The sequence below is a fragment of the Homo sapiens genome, chromosome 10 (genome assembly GCF_000001405.40).
Source record: "Homo sapiens chromosome 10, GRCh38.p14 Primary Assembly".
Lineage (NCBI taxonomy): Eukaryota > Metazoa > Chordata > Mammalia > Primates > Hominidae > Homo > Homo sapiens.
This window is the reverse complement of record NC_000010.11, coordinates 115,827,093-115,851,015: the sequence shown is the minus strand read 5'-3', so window position 1 is coordinate 115,851,015 and position 23,923 is coordinate 115,827,093. Positions and strand designations below refer to the sequence as shown.

General features: G+C 37.7%; 1 protein-coding gene across 8 annotated transcripts in view; it reads right to left on the bottom strand.

The window, feature by feature from the left end:
* The window catches only part of ATRNL1 (attractin like 1), an 855,635-nt gene that overhangs the window by 97,984 nt on the left and 733,728 nt on the right, over window positions 1–23,923 (bottom strand). For all 8 annotated transcript variants that reach the window (NM_207303.4, XM_011539587.2, XM_011539588.3 and 5 more), the window contains one exon: window positions 3,025–3,139. In NM_207303.4, coding sequence (NP_997186.1) covers window positions 3,025–3,139 — 115 coding nt within the window. The remainder of the gene's footprint in view (window positions 1–3,024; window positions 3,140–23,923) is intronic.

Below are 23,923 nucleotides of genomic sequence, written 5' to 3'. Positions count from 1 at the left end.
AATTTAATAACTGAACAGATACACTAACATTTGGAGAAATAAATAGCCCAATAGCCAAGAGAAGACCCCTGGCACCCTGTCCTTCACACAGTGGGGTTGGGGTCAGGAGTCTGCCAACAAAGCTCCACCTCTACCTCCTCCTCAACTCCCCCAACCTGTCACCCTGCACAAATAGTGGAGGAGGCTCAAGAGAACATAGAGGGCTTCTAGGAGAGGAATCTGGGAAAGGGTAAATGAATTTGAACTCTGTTGCTCATTTTACTGAAATTAGCTGAAGCTAACAGATTCAAGTGGTTGCTAAAGGTCACATTTCCCAAGTCTCCTATCATTGTCATCATCATTATCAAAATAATTTATTAACTGATTTCTATGTGTAGGGCACTGGGATAAGCACAGGCATATATAAGGACTTTCTGTGAAGACACAGAATAAACCAAACTTCAGCAATGAGATAACCAGTGTCAGCATTTGGTTCCCAAGAGCCAATATGGTTCCCAAATAATCACTGGGATATATTTCCTCTCAAATATGTGAAGTTTTAATTGGCTGTGCATACACTAAATATTTGGACGAGCACTGAAAAAAATAGTCACTTAGTTCATATATTGGTGTCAGTATTTGCCTTGTTCTGGGAAAACCTAGATGATGATATTGGAAAAATTTTTCTCTACAGATACTGCCTTTTTTCTTGCAGTGAAATCAAGACATTTTGTTTTATTGTTTCCCAACATTTCATTATTAAATATTTAAACATATATCAAAGTTAAAAGAATTTTATAATGAATATCAGTATTCCTAGCACCTAGATCCTACCATTAACATTTTACTTTACTTGCTTTATGACATATCAGTCCATCTACCCCTCTTACCCATCTTCCAAATTGATGCAGATAACAGATAATGCTGCAATTTAAAGAGTAGAACCACTGTCTTACTCCTCTAAGAGCTTGAAAAATCTACTAGATTGTTTTTAGAAAACAAAGAACAAGCTCATTCTGAATTATGTACGCAGATACTCATCATAGTTTCATCCTCAGGCTCTGTAAAAAGTATGGTAAGCTATTTCAATCTTTTGTCTAGCTCTATCAACCCTGTAGACATTTTCAGTATTCATCCAAATGCTTGCTTTTGTAAAGACATGGGCTGTTGATTTTAGAGAGGCTTTCTGCTACAAATCATCAGGAACAATTACCTGGAATGCTAGCAGTAAGTATTTTTTATTCTTTTGCTCTATACTCTAGTATCCCCTCTCCCCAATTATTCCTTGAGTGTAGATATACAGTGCTTTCTACGTCTCACTCCCCTCATTTATGATGTTAGTTTTATAATACCTATCTCACAACCCTGTCATGAGGATCACATGTGAAAAACAGAAAAAACATTTTAGAAAGAGTAAAGTACTATGCATATCTAAGATAACATTAACATTAGTAATCATAATGCAGTTGTTAGAAAACACAGCTGAGGTAATGGTTCACACTGCTACTTGTCTCTTTCATATCAGTCAAAAAGGACTTCAAAGGTTAAAGGGACAGAGAATTGGCAGTTGCCTTCAGTCTGCCCATCTCGTGAAGGATCGAGAAAAACCTTGGTGTATATCACACAGACTTGTTTTCATTAGTGAAGTGTTTGTTTTGGAAATCATCCCAGTTTTAAAACAATACTTCCATTAGCTGTGCAAGTACCTATAATTATCCATCTTATCTGACCAGTGCCAAACTATTTTACTTATTGCATCCCATTTACCTTGGAGGTGCTGAAAGGAAAAGAACAAGACATTCACTCAATGTATGAAAAGGTGCAGAAAATGTTTATTTCTTTGAATAAACATCCATAAATGAACTTTGGATAGAAATTTCTGCAATAAGATATCATCAGGTACCATGAATGATGAATCTGAAGGTGATGGAAACTCTCTGCTCCCATATATGGGAAAAATTCTGTTACATGAATACCTAACGTTTACAAGGCATAAAGTAGTACATTTTCCATTTTTTGTGTCTGGTTGGACACAAGTCAAGAAAGTGAGGAGCAAATTCAAAGCCAAGTAGGGAAGTAAGAAAAGATAAAATAAGCAAGGAGGCCGGTTCATCATCAATTACTGTTATTGAGAACTTGCCAGCTTGCTGGCATTTTATTTTATGCTTAAGGGGAATTGAAGAGAAAAACAGATTTGAAATCACCCTTGCCCTCAAAAAGCATTCATTCCAGTAGTGGTTGGATAGATAAAATAATCAGGAGACAGAAAAATTCAAAATTATAAAGATGGAATAGTATATGCAAAAAGAGAGAAAAAAGTGTGGTCTGTAATTTAAGTATGATTTATATTCAACATTGAGCATGCTTAGAATGTGGACAACACCATCGCAATGAGCAGAGCTCTAAGAGGACAGGTATAATTATCCTGAAATCAAAAACATGCTTTTCCTACAGGAAAAGGAGAATCAGAACAAAGGCTGGCTGTGCCCACCTAAGACAGAGGGTTTCCCTGGTCCATGAACTCCAGCTGGTGCTGAAAGCAATGGCATATCTTAAACCTACTGAGATGGTTGCGTGAAGCTATCATCCTCTGATGCCACTCAACGTTCCAAACATACACGTTCCCTAGTTTGGTTCCACATTCACAAAGCAAATTTCTAATCATATTTATAATTTGGTTTCCAACATGCCACACATACTGGAAGAAAGGAAGCTGGCTGGAAGGGTCTAGAACATGGTGGCCCTTCTAATGAGATTTCTCATTGTAATTCCAGCAATTAATGGGAACATACATACATGTGTGTATAATACACAAATAAACACATATTCAACATGTGTTTTTCGGAGAAACACTGGGAAATCTACCTTTATAACAATGCAGGTATCTAGATAGTTGGGTAAAAGTTTGTATTCTCATAAAATTTTACCATGCTCTAAATTAGAACCTTGCAAAGGTCCTTACTGCGCTATTTAGTGGTATTGTTTATTTCTTCTGTTCAGTCTACAAGTTTTGCTTAACTGCTGAAGGCTCCTCATTTATCATACCTGACTGCCCAGGGGGAGGGGCACCTGATGATCCTCGTGGTAGACAAAGAAACACAGTCAGAACAGCAGCTCTGTTCCCAGCACATGGTTCAATGGCAATTGGCTTGGGTGCCCCCTGAAAAAGAAAACCCACTTTAAGTTTGCAAAATTGACATAGCATTGCTATTTTAATTTTCACCTTATCTATCCTTTAGGTAGCTGTGCTGTACATTCCTAGTTGTTCAGGACACACCATGTGTTATTTTAACACTAGCTCCTTGCACACTATGGATGTGCACTTGGCCTACACTTGAATAAATCAACAAATTTCACTATATTTGACGAGCAGCTTGTGAGCCACAAAGTTATGCAACTTTTGTTCCTTTTTCCCAATTGTTTCCTCTCACCAATGATGTATAACATAGCATAGTTTATCTAATTAAGTGATCACAATTCAAAATATTCTGTTGGCATATCTTAATTTTCTTATTTTTACTGTCTATAGGGTGTACAACATGATGTTTTGATATACATATACATATACATACACAGATACATATACATATACATAGTGAAATAATTACTACAGTCAATCGAAGTAACATATTCATCACCTGATACAGCTACCTATTTTTTCGTGGAAAGAGCACCTAAAATACACTCTCTTAGCACATTTTCAGTATACAATACAACAGTATTAACTACAGTCCTCCTGCTTACATTAGATCTATAGACTTATTCATCCTACATAAGTGCAAGTTTGTACCCTTTGACCTACATCTCCTCATATCCTCCCCCTCCCTGTCCCTGGTGAATATTGTTCTATTCTCTGTTTCTATGTCTTTGACTTTTTTTAAGAATCCACATGTAAATGTGAGATCAGGTTGGCATATCTTTAATATTGTTTTAGTGAAATACCTACTTACTAATCACCCATCAATGCACTTGTATAGATAACTTTAGAAATAACATAGAGTAAATAAATATATAATAATAATAATAGTAATAGCTAGTATTTTATTAAGTTGTTACTATGGGTTAGGTGTTCAAAGTGCATGACATATATTGACTTATTTAAACCCACAACAACTCTGTAACATGAGAACACTGAAGCAAGAGGTTAACAAAGCTTGCTCAGATTCATATAGCTAGTTAGCAGTAGTTGGGCTAGCATTTAAGCTCAGGCAGGCTGCCTCCTGAGTTCACATTCTTAATCACACAATGCAGGCTTATGACATGTGTGCATATGCAAACATGCACCTCCACACATGTACACATAAACATATGCACAAGTACACACGTGTACACAAATCCACATATGAAATTTGGAATTAAACACAATGTGATCTTTGGAATAGTGAGGCTATCAGTTTAGCCTAGGAATGTTAGTTTTGGCCATCATTTAAAGAGCTATAGAAGAGACATGGTTGATATATCAAAGCAACATTTCTGAGGAAAGGCAAAATTAAATAGAAGAATAAGTACCACGGCTTTAATTATTAGAACAAATGATTTGTTCAGGTTTTTTTCACTGATGATATTTAAACTTTTAAGAAGAAATACAGACATATGCAGTCATTCACCTAGAATATTCTAGAATACTGTCGTTTCTAGAAAGTTTAATGAGGCATTAAAGATAAAATATGCCTGCTTTCTTGTAAAACTTGGACTGAAATTTCTGGTGACAATGGTTTTATGTGGTTATAAAGGATTTCTCCTTTATAGCAACATAAATCTCATGTTTTAAAATTATCCTCATATAGATACATTTTGGGAGCATTCAATATAAAGGTGAAAGTGGCGATGGTGGTGGAAGCAAAGGGCATAAAAATGTTCCAAGAAAATGCTGTAAGCCATGTTGCAATACTTGTATCAAGTTACATGATCTATGGTTTTACACTTTAAAGCTTACATTTAATTTAACAGACTTATTTTTGAAAATGTTAAGTAAAAATCAGCATAAGTACATAGATATTCTCCAGTGATGTAAATATTTAGAGAATAGGTTTGTCTTATTCCAAAGCTAAAAGAAAAATACTATGAAATGTTTCAAATCATATTTACAGGCTACTAAAAGTTATTTTAATTTAATAAATGCAAACAATATGTAAAGGTCAATTGATTAAAATATACTAACAGAACATAAAATAAACTCAAGGTTTAAACGATAGTGATATATTGGAAAAACCATACCTAAGAAACAATCAATCATTTCTACCAACGGGCAAGCTTTTCTTTGTTTTTTCTTTTTAAACTCTCAGTGTATTAACTGATACTATTCAGCATATCCAAAGGCATGTTAAAAAAAAAACTCGACTGCAAAAATTAGAACAGTAGAATTGTATGTTTATACAAAAAAGTTGAGAAACAGTGGGTCTTGGTTTAGGAGATTGAGAAAAACGACAAATGATTCAGTAGTACATCAATTTGATCTTTTTGCCAGGCTATCTTTCTGCCACTTTTAACACAAGCAGAAAATATTTCAAAACATCAAATCATCAACAGCATCAACGGAGAAAAAAATTAACAAAAAATAACTAAACTTCAGGTGGAATATGGTCTAATTAACACTTTAAACTTCAGAGACTTAGCAACAAATAAGGACAGTGGAGTAGAATATCTCAAACGTGGAAAGGAAATTATGCCTGCATAAAAGCTACTTCTATAAAATCTTCCTTTAAAAAATTACTCTTTCATTCTTAGTTCTACTGCTATTGTATAGAAAACATTCAGAAATTTCTGTATATTGATAAGCTATATAAAAGGAGATTATACTTCTATTTTAAAAAATCAAATTGACTTACAACTTAGTCTATTTTAGGTAAAATAATTTTCATAAAAGGATATTAGCAAAAATATGAATTATTCATTCTGTTTAAAATATTAGTTACTAGCACAGCTCTTTGATACTTCTGGAAGAAATTCACATAATTTAAAATATTATTTCCAAAGAGTATGTGGCAAATATCACTTTCAATACAGAATTTTATATACAAAAAAACCCAAACATCTCTTTATAGCACTTGAATTTTACAACAGAAAATAGCAAAACCCCACAAATGATAATGTTTCTGATACCCTGGGGTTTGGCAGTTGTTTCGTGATAACTACATAACCATGAATCAAAATCATTTCACAATGACATAACATGTTCACTGAGCTGTGCAATTTATCATGTATTTTCCATTGCTGCCTTTCAAAGAGATAAGGCCTGGGTTTGTTTGCCCACAGCACTCAGCAACTGTGATTTACTTCTAGGCATTTTCATATTCGTTGTACTGCAAGAAGCTGGTGTTAGGCTCTGCCAGAAAACATCACTGACAGTTACGTAATTAGCAGTCCCTGTGTATTAGGCCCACAGCACTTTTAAAAAGACTGCTTTTGTTCAGTCTAGTGTTTTTAAAACTGTTGTACTCTTATTTTCAAGTTGCTGTTTTAGGGGCAAAAATTCTATATTAAATGCTTTCTATTTTTCAGCTATTACAAACAGAAAAAAATGTTACCAGAGAAGCTTCTAGAATCATGAAGATTTTCAAGGTATAGTTCTTAAAACTCCTAATAATTTGTTCTGAAAATGAGGTGTTCATTTGAGCTCAGGATCAATCCTGGGAAACTCCTGCTACATGAATCACTGCACGTTTGGAAAACATCAATGGGTAAAGCTGGCTACTTGTTCTTCCACTGGCCCTCTCCAATGGCGAGTGAGGGATTCACTTCTGTAAATCACACTGAGACCCATCACTAGAAACCATATTCCAGCAGGTGAGGGCTTAACAGAATTATCTGATGTCCTTGGACGAGTCACTACAATTTAAGTGGGGTTTAGTAGAACATTCAAGGACTCAAGATTAAAAAGATGTTACATCCTTTCTCAAAAACCTTTTCAGTAGTTCCAAAGCAGAACTTGTAAACTAAGTCGCTTCAAGGCACAGGTGGGTAACACAGTAATAATAGCTAACATTTATTAAGCACTTACTATATGCCTGATGTCAATACCTACCCGATGAGACACTGACTGTTTCCATTTTACAGATGATGAAACTGAAGGTCTAAGAGTTCAAGTGACATAAATAAAGTTGTAGACCTAATAGGTGGCATAACCAGGAATTTGGACCAATGCAGTCCATTTTCTGAGCTTGTATGCTTAACTTTATGCTATATTGCCTGTAATAGGTAGGAAGACTGACTTATCCTCTAGAGTAAGACAATAAAAAGTAGTGGGTACTAACTAGAAAGTTCTTTAAAGACATTAACTCTTAAAACGTGTGCTGACCATGTCTTGGGTCAAAAGAGGCTTGAGTCCAAAATGACATTCCCTACATACTCATCTAATCACATCCTTTATTCTGCACAAGCTCTATTTTTTAGTCAAATTAAGTGCTATTAATAACTGTTCAACAACTGTTCCCAGGGTTTTCAGAATCATCTGTGCCTTCTTCACTCTTAATCTTCCTACTGTCTAAGGCATCCTTCCCACAGGTCTCCAACGTTCCTGATCTTATGCGTCCCTCAAAGCCAACTCAAATGTCACTTCATCTATAAAGCCTTCTCTGATCTGAGATATTTAGTTTCTCCCTCTTTAGTTCTTTAACTTTAACTTTTGTGACCCTCTTTATTTTCTACTTTGAATAACAGCTGGGTAAATGTCTATTTCCCACTGGATCAAGCTCCTTGAGAACAGGTCCGGTTTCTTATTCATCCCTATATCCCCTATGCTCACTTCCTCTCTTTGAAATGTCCAAGCACGGTGCTTGTGCCACCTTTTTGGGACCTATGTCTCCCAATGTTTTATTATACTTATTGATGTACATGTTGTATAGCCCTGCTTCTGCAAGGCAGATATCATGTTAGATTCTTGTCTTACCTATAGCAACTACTAGAGTGCATTGCACATGGTAAGTGAAAGAGTTAATGAATGAATAAATGAAGTTGTCACAGAGGTCACATGGTGAAATAAGCGACAAGGCATGACCAAGTTTCTCTCCAAATTGTGGATATTAAAGGGATAGTAAAACACTAATAATAATAATATGTAACATTTACTGAGTACTTACTAGATGCCAAGTGCTATGCTAAGCTTTTTACATGCATTATTGTATGTAACCTAAACAGCAGTCCTATTAGCAGGATACTGTTATTTTCCATTTCCTACAGATGAAGTAATTGAAATTCAGAGCGGTCAGACTGTATTCTCAGGGTAAGACAGCTAGTGAGGGGCAGATCCAGGACTGGAACTCTGATTCTAGAATCTAGGTTTTCAGCCACTATACAATATTACTAAAACATACAGCTTAAGAAGCTAAGGAGTCTCTCATTCTGTCAGCCTATTAATAGTAAAAATCAATTTAGAATACCAGTTATAACAATTATATGCAAATACCTACCCCATTTCTGACTAGTGATCAGAACATATAAGTACTCAGACCAGCTCTCCCACTAGCTAGCTGTGTGATCCTGGGCTTGTTACTAAGTCAGTTTCCCCAACTGGAAAATGAACAGGTAGGTTGGATGATTTTTAAGGTCCCTTTCCTCTTTAACATTCTGTGACTATGATTTATGGACAACCTCCAGAATCTGTGACATACCAGTATCTAATAGTTTGTCTAAGTATGGTGAAATTTAAAATTTCCAATCCTTAGTATTTTTTTCTTCCTGCTCAGTTACTTTAAATGGCACATCTAATTTTTAAAGAACATTTTTATACCATATGATGAATACATCACATAAGACTAAATGGCCACCATCGCATGCCAAAAAAGCAATTAGAAAATTGAATCAAGGAATTAAGGATTAATGTGGATATGTTATACCTGTCAGCAGTAATAAGTATTTTGACAAGAACAGAATAAATTCTGACAGTATGCACAAATCCTAATCTGATATATGAGTGAAATATTAAAAATGCAAACAACTACACATTAATCACTCTAACATTTCCCTACTAAAATACTTCTAATGCTATTCTTATCAGAATTCATCTATAAATAAAAATGAGTCTTTTTCAACAGCTTGCATGATGTGGTATTTGCAGCTTAATAAGTGTTTATATTGATATGAAATTTAGTTTTTAGTCACATCAGTAAAATTGAATTAATTTACTGAGTATTGTATTAAGTGGGCCTGATGACTTGGCTCGCAGCTAATCAAGTGTCCTGATTCCATAGGATCAGCAAATACTAAGATTCCAGATTTCAAAAACAGATTCTCCGATTCCATTGTTTAGGCTTGGGGAAAAAAATGGAAGCGAAAATCATATTCTTTCCTTATTTACTTTTTGCTTTGCATGAAATGATAAAGGAGAAAAAAACACATTAGCTGGGTTTATTCAGTAGGAAGGAGAAGAATTCATATTAATAAAAGAAATTAAGCTAGTGGACACTCAAAAACAGGGTTAAATTGCATTAGAAGCCAATTCAAAGAGAATAAAGTATTACACGTGGGAATAGGTAAAGGAATAAAACATAATCTTCACAGAATCAGGATGCTGCACTTGAGGTTCTGAAGGTATTCCAACCGTAAACTTCATTTTCATATCCTACCAAATATCTCTCCTTGCTGAAATGCCTTCAAGTTCAATCTGTGTTCAAAGTTTCTAACTAAACACACACATGTACACAAACACACACACTCATATGTACCCATATTTAAGGATTATCTTTATAGTATACTATCTAGATTAACTGAGTTTTGTAGTTATTTTAATTGTGTGGCACTGACTTTGGGAGTAAAGAGGCTGGATTGTGACAGCTTCAGTTTTATCACCTATTTTTCCCTAGGTGTTTAGGTCCCAGAAAGTAAAATGAGACAACACTACCTCTTCTTGAGCTATTATATAATCATGCTTTGCCCTGAGTTGGTTAATAACATGACTGTTAATAGGAGGTGACTCTGAATAGATTATCCTTAAAAGTTGATTCCTGTTAGCATTTTTCAAAACTTTAAAATAGATTTCTATTAAATAATTATCTTAATTAGGTTTGTAACAACCTGTACTTTTCTCCACAGCTCAGTGCAAAAAGCAACCTAACCACTATACTTGATGTATGAGTTTCAAAATTAAGAACATCCTTTCTGGCCTTGAAAGGTACTGTTAAGTGTGAGAGACAACTGTGCCTGCCAAATCAGTCACTTCCCATCTTGCTCATGCCCAGACTTAGGCTTTTTTTTTCAGGCCCCTCCATTCACGTAGACTTCTTGCCAACATCTACCATTCCTGCTATATTGGCTTAAATCTCTCTACCTGCAAGAAGCCATGCCAGGTCATGCTAGGCCACTCCAGGACCTCTTTGCTCTACTCTCTTTCAATACTTCTGAGTAAATAATTTTTCCTTTTTAAGCATTGAGAGGAAGTGTAACGTGGTGGTTATGAGAACAACCTTTAGCACCCAACTGCCTGGGTTCAAGGCCATGCTCTCATCCAAGCATGAGTTTGGTTAAAGCACTTAACCTCCCTGTGCCTCAAGTTCTTCATCTGTAAAGTAGAGCTAAAAATACCTTACTCACAGTGTTATTATAATGATTAAAGGAGTAATATATATACATGAAGTATAGCACACAGTAAGTACTCAGTAAGTCAGTGATTGTTATTACACCATTCTGTCCAGTTTTCACTTTGCTTTGGAATTGCTCTTTGTTCCGTATGAAGAATATGCTCAACTCAAAAGAAAGATATCTGAGGACATAGACCATATTTTTAAAATCTCTGTTAATGGCTTGAAATGAATTAATTAAGAAATTCAGCCTTGAGGAGAGATTTTTATTGATGGTTTTCAGGGTAGGAAAAATCTAATCCCAATGCCAAACTTCCCATACTTACCACATCAACACTGCCCCGGAAAGCCTGCCTGTTCTTCCCATTTTTGTTCCCTGCTGTTATCAAGGAATCTGACCTGACTGTAAGCATTATATGCTGCCGAGAACAGACTTTCCCTGGCACCTAAGACTGAGGCATTTAAGAAATATTTTATGAATAAATGGATGTTTGTTTTCCCTTTTCCAAATTGTGCACAAGGTAAATCTCAAAGTTATAAACAAAATCTCAATCTAGAATAGATAGATGTAAACCATTGGGAAAGTTAGAAAAATCAAGATCTTGGTATTACTTCCCAGGCTAGTCCATTCTAAAACACATTATGTCATTCATTAATGTAGAAGGCCACCATAAGAATACAGCTGATAGATCAATTCTTTTTAAAAGGTAAATGTGCTAATTATTGGTGGCAGAGTGCTACATAGGCACAGTACCCACTCTGGTGAAGCATCCTTTTAAGCTAAATGCAACTCTGACTAATTTGGAGCTGAATGCACTGGAAGAGTTATGCATAGAGTCCTGGGGGTAGTAACGGAGGGAGGCAGGCAGGAGAGGGTATGTGAAGTTCTGGAGAAGGACTTTACCTTGCAGAAGATGACTAGGAGTTCACCAGGAGAATGATGAAGGAGGATTTCTGGCAGAAGTAAGGGCATGCACACAGAGGTGCAAAGACATATGGGTTGTATTGGAAATCGATAGAAGTTCATTGGGGATACAGCCTAGGAAATATTCTGTAAAGAGGGATGAGAAGAGGCAAGAGAGGAAGACTGAGGCCCTCCAAAATATCCAGGTCCCCCGTTAGCCCTTCACATCCTTCCTGGCCATGACTGGGATTCTCACTACCTGCTTCAAATGCTGTGCTGAGATGCTCGGATGGAAACGGACACGTGCAGCACACAGTGGGTCATGGGCAGCCTTCATCAAGATGTGCGCATCATCCCTCGTGAACACAAGCAAACCTCTCTCTATTAGAAACTTGCGGTGTCCCTTTATTAAACTATTAGTCAAATCTGTTATACTGAGGGAACATTAAATTAAAACATTTATTCCTGAAACTTCAATCATAAAAGTAAATCAAGAAGCACTGTGAAAACTAACTGTCAGCAGAAAGAATAAAAGTGCAGATTTGGCAATATTCTTAATGCTTAATGAGGAATCAGATGTTAATAGATCCACATAATAAATGACTTTCTACTGTAATTATTATACCAGTTGCAACCTATTATAAGTACAAAAGCATGGACAAAACTATGAATGAAAGAGTTTAATATGACTTGGTACAAAAGCATGTATGAAACTACCTGGATTTCTCAGAGAATAAGTCATTCTGGATTACAGAGTTTTCCCAGAAAGGTGAACATTAACTCTACAAGAGCTAAAACTTTGCCGTTTTAGGGTATTAAAAAAAATACTGCGAAATTGCTTAAAACGAATATCCTTTTCTCTGCTTCTCAACAAGTCTATATTAAACATAATTTAGTATTGTCTCGATGTTCCATGATCAACATTATGAACATCAGCTTTCACAGAATGCTAAAGACACATAGAGCTGCAAATGTGCGAATGAGTAAGTATGTTACAGCTATAGCCCTAGGGGTTTCTTTTCCCTCCTCTTCCTCAGTCCCAGAAACCACCAATGCCAGCTTGCTTGTTACTTATTTGTTTCTTTACATAAATGCAACCTAAAACTTATGCAGCTGCCAGTGGATAAAGTGACTGCTTTTCTGTAAACCCCATCAGTGATACAAATACTGAGATGACCTTCTCAAGAGGTTGTCTTATTTTCCACAATATCTTCTTCCCTGTTGCTGTCAGTGTGCTGTGACCTGTCAGTAACATTCAAAGCACTGCCTAATTTCTACATTACCAATCCCATGTACCACAGACATCCTCTTGACAGTCTGTAACCATCCTCTTACGTCCCTTGAAGTTTGTAGACGGAGTAGCCTTTGCAATTTCAAGAATTTTGACAATAGAGTTTGAAAATAATCTTACTATAAAGTCTAGAAATACTTCAGCAGACCCAAATGACTTTACTGGACATGAAGTGGGTGTGGGTTCAAATATTATGGGATTTTGAATAAATTATTGAACTTTTGTGTGCCACAGCTTTTCCATACAGAAAATAGAGATTATAATGCCAATCTTGAAAGTTTACATTGAGGATTATAAAGAATAATATAAGAATAAGGCACTTAGCATAGTGACTGGCAAAAAGTAGTTGTTTAAATACAATTTTATATTAGGTAGAATCACTTGCAAATGCAATTTTTAAAAGTCAAAACCAATTGAATATCAGCAATTTTATATGGGTCAATGTTAATAGTTCCCTTTCCCTTCCTTCCACTTTGTTTTGGTGATTGATGGCAAGTAAATAAAGGAGGCTTACACATCAAGATCTTTTCTTATCTTTCTCTCCTGGGTGAAGTCATTCTCTCTGGCTTGGTCCGAAAGTATGGCACGAGTATTCTAGTGTCTGGTCTAGAACTGAGTTCCAAGTTCAAACATTAGTCTATTGTGGAGAAGATGATAATTGATCAATGCTAGTGTTAGAAAGCTCAGAGGCAAAAGCCATTACAAAGGACATATTCTATGCAAACCTTTCTGCTTATACAGCAAACAGAAAAATATTTTATGGATGGATATGCTTAGAAATGCCTCCTAAGGGTGTTCTGGTGTGTGTGTGTGTGTGTGTGTGTGTGTGTGTGTGTGTGTGTGTGTGTGTGTGTGTGTGTGGCTTGGGAAGCCTCTTTGCTTACTAGCTGTCTCCTCATTATTTCCTAAATTTAAATTTCCTAATTTTATAATCAAGTCAGGTAAGAGGGAAAAATGAGAGAAAGGATGTTAGTAGACGGAGGATGCTTTTTGCAGGTCTCTGGGGTCTTCCTGCAGGAATCAAAGTTATGGAACTCACAAGACAGGACTTGCTACCCCTGTGCATGACCTGAGATACGTGGAGTCCTTATGTGGCCAAACTAAATATATTTGTGTAGCATTCCTTTAGGTCTTTTCCTCAAATTATCTAATATTTTACTGTGTGAACTCAACTACCACATCATGTTGCTTTAGAAAATGAAGTATATGAGAGTGAATAAAATATCTCTTCAAATCTGTCTTTTCCCCAAAGCTCCTTTTTTCAGTATGACTAAAAATTAATGGTCAGAGTCTGGGTAATGATCCTTTCCCTGGTTTTACTTATGCTGCTTTACCAACTCCCTGTTGGTCCTACTAATTATCTAATTGATTAAGCCTTCAAGGAGCCTTCTGTCATTGGGTGGCGCCCACTGCACACATCTGGGTCACTGTGTTTTCTTTTAAGGCAGTTAATTAAAAGATCCACAGCACAAATACAGGTATCAACTGGGAAGCAGATCTTGGTTGTTTCCTCAGTTGTTCTCTGCAGAGGGTTGAATAGCATCTTCTAAAAGTTCATGTTTATCCAGAACCTCAGAATGTGACCTCTTTTGGAAATAGGGCCTTTGCCAATGTAATTTGTTAAGATTAGGTGAGAGGTCATACTCCATTAGGGTAGGCCTGCCCTACTTTTGATACAAGGAGATGCCACACGGGAGAGTCACCGAAGAGTTCACCATGTGAAGACAGAGGCAGAGACTGCAGTGATGCATCTACAAGCCAAGGAGCACCAAGGTTTGCAGGCAACGCCAGAAGCGAGGGGAGGTGCACGGAAAAACTCTCCCTCAGGGTCTCAGAGGAATCAACTCTGCCAACACCTTCATTCCAGACTTCTAGCCCCCAGACTGTTTTTTTAAGCCACCAAGTTTGTGGTAATTTAGCCCTCAGGAGCTAATACAGTCTCCCTAGTCACAAACCAACCTTCAACAGAATGGCCAAGGAGTATTGATTACTTGCCATCTTTTTCTTTTGTTTTGGAAATGATCATAAGTATAATACGGTAACTGGCCAGTCTCAATACCTCAGAATATTTCCCCTATTTGGGGGCCATTCAAGTCACTTGCACTTGAGAAACTAGCTACATATCACATAGCATGGCAAATGCAGCCCACACAAAGGTCAAGAGGGAGATTCACTTAGTTATGGGAATTCTGTGATCATTGTATGATTGATGATGTTCTTAAAATTGAAAATAGTTGTAATTGCTCCTTAGAATGCAAAGGTAGTATACGTTATACGTTGGATTCCCCAGGAAATAGATTCTGAGATTCTGAGACATGTGTGCAGGAGGTTCATTGGGAAGTAGCCACAGGAACAACATCGGTGTGGGGGGACAGAGCAGAATGTGGCAGAGGGAGAAGTTCACCTGTGGTGCGGCAGCCTCTGCCTGAGTGGGTGGTTCTTTAGAGTTGTATCACATTGAGACAAGAGGCTAAGTCTCTGAACCTATCCATGGATGGAGGCTGTCCTCAGCGAGGGGGCATGGCCATTGTGAGAGGCAGCTTCTCTCAGCAGAGGGTGATTTCTGGAGAAGGACTCTGCTCAGAGCTGTGAAAATGAGAGGCTCAGTCTCGAAGTGGGAATGCAGGCAGCACATCCCAGTCCTACTATAATATTCACAGTTCTAAAGATAAATTTCTTTATTAGCTAAGAGTGACTGGGCCAAGGCCCAATTTTATATGTTGTGGTATAGATAAGGTTATTGGGCATTTATACTTTTGTTCCTCACCAGGCTTCTGAGGCCGCTATATTATTGCCTTTCCCAATTCTCCCATATGAGTGCTTGCTCTTCAGGACTGTAACCTTCCTCTTCAATTTTCCTACCTTGGCTGGCAATTCTGATGGTGATTTTTATCTTCAAAAAAGGGCAGAAATTATGATCTTGGTGCTAACTCCATGGCTAGGTCAATAGTTTAAAGAACTGAGTAAGCATTACTCAATATTTTATTCTTCACAGTTGGCATTCAAATGATTCAATGTATCTTACTTTTTGTTAAGTCATGAAGCTTTCAGAGGAAGAGGTCACCTTTCCTCTGAAATAAGGTCACCCTTATTTTGCATTCAGGGACAGTGGAAGATGAGTAATTAATTAATCTCACCAAGGTTCTGTAAGGTGTCAAAAGGGATGGCAGAGAAGACGCCAATATCCTCTGTTTGCCTGCTAAGTCATATTGTCTCTTGGAAAACTGCAACTTTATATGTCTTTTCTCTAATAATAATAATAATGTCAACTATTATTAATTGAGCATGTACTATTTACTGAGCACTCCCTTGAGAAGTGGAAGGTGAACTAAAAAGCAGTTGGTGGACACTGCTAAGTACTAATACATGTTCCAAGTATTAGCAAGATTAAAAGGTTTTTGAATCCAGAACATGAATATGTCATCTTAGTTGTAAAAACTACTGCAACAAAGCAAACTAAACCCTTTGGGTGGAAGATTTACATCAATCCTTTTAAGATAAATATTGGTCCCTATCACACTAAGGCAAGAAAATACACAGCAGAGGAGAATTCATTATCTTGAAGATTAACACATGGTGGAAGGTAGTAGGGGAAGGTGTGAGGTGACATCACTGTGGTTCTACACGTAGACATCCCATTGGAGAACAAACAAGGAAGATGCTTTGCTAATACAGATTCCAAATCCGACAACAGCTGCCTGTCTGTTGGCAATCTCATTCTATTCAAAACAAGTAGAAACTGATCATATTACCTTACCAGAGCAAAATGGTAAAGGGAACATTCCAATAAAATATAGAGGTTTGCCTAGAGACAGGCAAACAAACTTTGCAAACAAGGTGGAAGAGTCTGAGAGGCAAGGGAGAAGTAGGCGATTGGGTCAGAAAAGAAGAGTTGTTGAGCCTTATGGATTCAGACATATATACTAAACTTAGGGAAGTGGGTTTCAAAAAGTTCAGAAAAAATTACAGGTATAATCCCACCATTAGAGAATCTAAAATAATATGGCTCAAAGGACAGGAAGCTTTAAAATATCTGATTGAAATCCCAAGTGACAAAATAAAGAAGGAATATTGGAGCCGCAGAAAGTAGTTTCTAATGGGATGCCAGTAGAATAAGAGTATATAACCTCAGACTCACAGGCCTACTGTGGGGAGCAAGTTCTTGGAGTGGACTAAAGGTGTGGGGTATGCAGGGATATGATAGACAACTGGCTCCTGAGAGCATAGCGGTAGCCACCAAATTAACTGTAGATAGAAAGACAGTCGGTCGCTGGCATTCCATTGAGGTATAGCAGTGAAGTGCTCCGGCAGTTGAGCATAGCACAGTCATAGAAAATCATTCCATAAGAAATGTTTGCTCCAAATGATCCCCATCAGGGAATTATCCAGATTATGAACACATATGGTGAAGAGCAGGCCCTGTTGCTTATGTGGCAGACCTTTAAACTAAAGCTTTACAAGATAATGTGCTTTATATTAGAATTCAAAAGAATTAGAACACAGGATTAAATTAACTAGGCAGTTTGTATTGGATAGAGGGTAAACATGTGGGCTCTGGTACATTATTGCCTAGAATTAATTCTTAACTGCCGCTTACTTGGGCATGTTTCTTAACTCTCTGTGCTCAATTTCCTCATCTGTAAAATGGCAATAATTATAATATGTACTTCACTGGATTGTTGTAAGGATAAACTAAATTGATACTTACAAAGCATTTAGAGTACTGCCTGGCGTAGGGCAAGTGTTCAATAAATGTCAGTGATTATTATTTAATTTTATCATTTTAATGGTCTGTTTAACATAGCATACACTCTTACTATAATAATAACTTATTCTTATAACTTAGCCTGTATCTTCTGATTTATGATAGAATAGCCCAGGAGCTTATATGTGGCCCTGGTGTGACACAGCCTTTGAGGAAACTCTTGCAGGCTGGTTCTACATTGAGCACGCTATGCCGTGAAAAGTAAAATCAAGTTTGAATCTTGGCTCTACCACATACAGATCACGTGACTTTAGGTAACTAGACTAATCTTTCTAGGCCCAAATTTCTTCACCTATAAAAGAGAATAATAATAGTGCTAATTACTGATAGGGTTTTTGCAACGAGTAAACTCAATAACTTATTTAAAGCACCTGGTATATTGTATTGCATACAGTAGGCATTCAATGAATGGCAGCTATGTTATGATTTAGCTCCTTTATCTCCTTAAAAATATATTTAACTTTCCTGCTTATTACAAATGAACACCATACATTCTTAGTTTGCTATTTGAATTTCTTTTTTTTTCTCCTCTTACATGTCCTGAAGGAATTTTTAAAAATCTCACTAAAATGAAATACTGGGACATAAAAATACTTGTGATGGTCATTTTCCATTTAGAAGGGAATTACCTTGATACTTCATTGCATCTCTTCACCATAGATCTTTCTACAATGAAACTCTAATTCATGATCTTGTCAGAGCTGGGGCAGGGGATTCAGGTGTGAGTATCAGATAAAAGGTTGAGACAGAGATGCAGGATCAAGAAGGGGTGGCTTTGAAGCAAGCAAGCAAGGACAGCAAAAGTAAAGGGTTAGAGAATGGATAAATCAGTTGTGGGTTTAGAAGTGACATACATAATAATAGTGGCCATTTTTGAATACCTAATGTTTCCTTTGCCTGTGCAAGGAGAGTGGAAGAGTCGAGACTTGGACTCAGACTTATCATAATTCCAATGCCTAATTCTTCCCCACTTTCCATACTAGCATCTGGAAGTAATGACATACCACAGGAGACAGACAGACGCATACGTTGTAGTTCAAGGTCTGAGACTCAGAATCCAGAAAGTCTATGAGATTTGAAGGAATGAAGGGAGTGCAAAAACAATGTCAAATGATGAGCAAGTATAGAAGAAACACAACAGAAAGGGTTTTCTATCCTTCCCTTAGCATTATGCTCTGCTTCTTGGTAACAGAAGCCAATCTTCCCACTTAGGTTGGTGGAGCCTCTGCAGGTGAGAAAAGGTGAGTGGCAGCTCCTGACCAAGATGAGGCCCACAAGGCAGGAGTCAACAGCACGAGTGAATGGTGGGAAAATCCTGGATTCCTCCCTATTTTACCTTGGCTATTTGATAGCTTTCTGACCCAGACTACAGTTTTAATTTGAAAAGTTCCCCTTTCTACAGAAACTAAACAGGTTTCAAAGCAGAAATATAAATTAATTTTGCCAATTCTGGCAACCAATAACCCTCAAATTTTCTATGACCTTAGCTTTTTCCCCCTTTATTTACCTCATAAAAGGGAAGTTAGGACATATTAATCCTGTAAATAGCTCCATATTTTCTGAGATCACTTCAGAAGAAGACTATTTGAATAAGATGAAATTACTATTTGTCGGGGAATTTAATTATACTCTTTTTCTTGGTGTTGGTTTTCAAGTTTCTTAATGCCTTTAGTTAATAGCAGGTAGCTATAGCAATTTTAAAGTATCTCTTTCAGTTATAACACTCTCTGTTGACTTTTTTAAAGCACCTAACAATTGACAAAGCTTTTTAAAAATCTCACTTGAAAAAAAAAAACTCACTTGACTCTTGCAGCTACTATGTGAGGTGGTGAGAGCAGCCTTTACTACCCAAACTTTACAAATGACAAAACTAAGGTTCTGAGAGTTAAGAGACTTGCTTGAGGACACAAAGTAGCTATGTCATGTTAGCCGGTGCAAGAAGTGAACATCTAAACACTGACTCCTGGGCTCTTGGTAATACAGGGAACACCTTTCCAATTGGTTTGCTTTCCACGCTCCGCTCCACCCTCACCCCGGCGTGCTTTTCACTGGGGGGATTTTCTCATGAGCTCAGGTGGGCTCTGGGCTGTATCATGCTCATCCATATGCACTCATCTATGAGATGCTCATTCCTCTTTATTAAGGAACTATGACAAATAAAATCTGTTAAAAAAAAGTTCTAGATCTCCAGTTCTCTCTCCTCAAATAGTTCTGTACACTCTTGCAAATATGAAAGATGTAAGATTGAGAGATTAAAGGGAAACACATACAAGGAAGGAGGCCGGGAGGTGCTAGGAGGGGAGAGGGGCGTGAACAGGCCTCCTCTGGCTTCCACATGCTCATTCTCTCCCGGGAGCAAAGAGTCAGTGACGCACTTAGGGAAAAGGGAAGCAAACCGGGAAATACCAACGAACCAACCAGCCCATCCGTGTTTCTGGAAGAACAAGGGCAGGTGGGAGCATTTATCTTAGGAAATTGCTTTTCTTGATTTTTTTTTCCAGAAAACGTGGAAAAATCTATGAAGAATGTGGGACAGGAAAGGGAGCAGAATACAAGAGAATGTATGTGGCTAAGGACTGGTGCTCACAGCCAAGGGATAAAAAGGCAAGGCCTGCTCTGTGTTGTAAAGCTGTAAAACTTTCCTTCTGCATACTTTCATATGAATTGGAGGAAAGTCACTCAGGCACTGAGGACTGATGGACAGAAATTAGCTGACATCAGAGAGGCCAATAAGTTATCTTAGCACAACTGGCCAAAGGCACATAGTTTTCCATGGGAAATGACCGCTGAGCTTTGGTTGAGGTTCCCCAAGAGGAAAAGCTCGATTGTGACAGCTTCTTCAATATGCTGCCAAATGCTTGTGGTTCCATCTGAAACCAACAGTGCAAAAACACTCACACCTCTGCACCTTTTATTTGAAAAGCAAGACATTTTCAGATACTGCTATATTTTCTAACAGAGGATCTACATCTGAACACACTTGAATTTTAGGAACTGGTAAACACAAACCCAATGTGAACTATCATCACGACTCATCCCAGCCAAGCAGATGGTCAGGCTAAAACCCCTAAAGCTTATTGCTACAAAGTCTTGGTAACAAGACAGTCATTCAATAAATGTTTATTGAGCATGGCCTATGTGCAAGATACTGTAGCCATGCCAGATTTCTTATTACTCAGTGTGCTGCTCCACATAATGAGGAGGTTGATCTTGCTGAATTTCTACTGAAGAGATGCATCAAATCTTACCTCAAAGGTTGCCAATGATCCATTTATAAAGAGCAAACAAGAATTTATTCTGGTTGTAATTTTTTTCCTACATATTCTTAGGTTATTTAGCCAGATGAATTAGTTTCTGCTAAAAACAAAAACAAAAACAAAAACCCAAAGCCCTTTGTTCACTTGTATATCCACAAACCAAATATTATTGAGATCCGCCAATGCACCAGGAACTGCATATATGCAGCTAGAACTGCAGACTTTGGCAGTATTAGGGCAGGAGAATTCTGTAGTAACAAAGGACTCTCTTGTTGCAGGTCTGCTGATGAGGTAATAGTAGCTAACACTTACTGCACTTACTGTAGAATAGAGTCAGACCCTACATTAAGTGTTTTGCACTGCACACACCAAGATAAAGATGAGTTCCTTTTATGCAATTAAAATTAGTCATGTAAAATCCCTAAAGAGTGGGGCTAAAAGGTGGCATTGCTGTGTTTGTAAATGCCTAAGGAACTCTTCTCCGGGCAGTCAGACAAGAGACAAAACCATGAAGAGTACATCTTCTAGGGCCATCTAGTGTTGATTTTTTTCTGCTTTAGCTCTTGGGGAGTCTCCAAAACCATAAAGGAAAAGAAAATCCCTTGATTTTGCAACTACTGAAGTGGAATTCCTTGGTGGCATAAGACAGAGAAGGTCTTGGAAAAGGGTATATCTTTTTTTGGCTTAAAAGTATATGCTAGCTCAGGAAGGGAAATGAGTTATAAATACCAAGGAGCACTGTGCTGCTCAGCTCGCATTGCAGATAAGGAATATTTTACTTTTTTTTTTTTTTTTGAAAAAGAAAATTTAAAAAGAAAGCCTGCTGAAATCTCCTGAAGAGACTGCAAAGTGGAAATTGACATAAGCTTGATCATGTAATACAGAATTAACCTTCCTAAAAAGTTGTTTTTATCTACCTATGTGTCTTACCCGCTTAAAATCTCTTTGCTCTCTTCCCTATAAAAACTCCAACCCAGTCATGGCTGGTCTGCTCTACTGGTCTTCCTCCTAACACTTCTGCTGCTCTCAACTCCTATCTGCCATAAATTTCCCTTTTCTTTTCCTAAAGTAGAAATAATCTGTAGAGATAAAGGATTATCTTCCTGTAGGTCTGGTCATTCAGTGCATTTTTTTTTCCCTCAAATGCTATGTGGCATATCACTCTTATGATAAAAATATTTTATAAATCTTCACTTATGGCTTTTGGTCTTCATGTGATATTTATGGAGGGAAATTCTACAGATAGGAAAACTGAAAAAAAGGGTGATTGTGAAATAATGCCCATCTGCAGAAGTTAGGACTCTTTATCTTGAATCCAAGGCCCTCTCCCCTAAAAATGCTATCAGCATGTAGACACCTTGAGGTTTCTAATGACATTGGGAATTTGGAGAGGGCTAATAATGGGACATTACATTTTTTAAAGAGGAATTTAGTAATGCTCTTTTAAATTTATTAGGAGACTCTTAGATTTGTCCTGCACAGGCTGATAAATGCATACTTATTTCACTACTCGCACAGACTAGATCGAGGTGGTGAAACTTGGCAGCCATTTAATAGACTATTATGAAGGTTAGATCTGCAAACAACTCCCCCTAGGCCACTGAAATAGTAATAAAATTTAGGGAGGTAAATATAATGATTATAATTTGAGCTTGTCTAAATAATACTGAATGTAAAACATTAATTAAATCCTGAGGAATTAGAAAACAACAACAAAAACAGGTAGACAACTACCACCATGCTGTGTACCAGAGTGAGAAGCAAACATTGTACTGTAGCTACCTGTCTATTTAAACCTTTCATTGCAATTGAAATATCCTTTAGAGTAAAATAACTGACAAGCCATGAAGAATCTCTGCTTTATTTCCTTGATTTCCATTTTCCACAGTGCCTTTCCACACAGCCTTAACAGCTGCAGGCAGTCTGCTCTTCCAAGCCTTGCATCAGGCTTGGTGTTTCTTTTCTTTTCTTTTCTTTTCTTTTTTTTTGAGACGGAGTTTTGCTCTTGTTGCCCAGGCTGGAGTGCAGTGGTGTGATTTCGGCTCACCGCAACCTCTGGCTCCCAGGTTCAAGTGATTCTCCTGCCTCAGCCTCCTGAGTAGCTGGGATTACAGGCATGCGCCACCACGCCTGGCTAATTTTGTATTTTTAGTAGAGACAAGGTTTCTCCATGTTGGTCAGGCTGGTATCGAACTCCAGACCTCAGGTGATCCGCCCACCTCGGTCTCCCAAAGTGCTGGGATTACAGGCGTGAGCCCCCGTGCCCGGCTTCAGGCTTGGTGTTTCTTGAAGCATTCATTCCATTCCATGTGAGTTGGGGCCTTTGTTAATGGATCTGCCCTCGGCTCCATTTGGACTGCTGCAGTTCTCTGTGGTCCACTTGTCTTGGGTGCTGAGCAAGAAGGAGCTCTGGGGTACTGCCTTCAGAGACAGCCCCACGGAAACATTCTTTAGCCATGATTTCATTGTGACCACTGCTTAAGGCTAGTCTATTTCATGCTCACTGAGTCCAGGAAAGCTCCCTTGTGTCAGTATTCGACAACTGCTTTTGTTCATATGTCATCTCTTACCTATGCCAACATGTGGCATGTGGAGCCAATCTGTTGACAAGGCAGCTCTCATCTCTTCTCTAAATTTCATATCTATCCCAGCCAGAAGTTTGGTACATCCATTAGGATGTTAGAATTCTTTTGTCCATATGAAGACTGAAACCCCCACCACATTATGTAATGTGTTCATGATGTGGTCATTCTTTTGGATAATCGTCAACATTAAAATCGACCAATATCCTGCCTGTGACCTCAAAGGGATTTAGACTGATGCAACACCACATGGGAAATTGTCTGAGACACCTTACGTCCTGCCAGCATTATCTGCTAAACTGGTATAGGCTTCATTAGTTAACACATCAATCATAGGCACTAATCATGCATATTTTAAACTGTGAAATCCCAGCACACAAGCCAATGTTATGACTGTTTTATCCAGAAACAGTTTGCAGGGGGTGTGGCCTGACTGAGCTGTAATACTTTGGCTCTTGCCTCATGGGTTTAGTTGTTTACAGTTTTTATAAAGCAATGAGTTAAAGTCAATGCTGTCGGACTTTCAGACGTTGGAGGCTCCCTCTGTGGCAGGGACACTGTCTTCTAGACCTCTGGCTTTGGGCATGTTAATGTTCTGTCACACAGCACAAGACGGCCAGCCATGATGTTC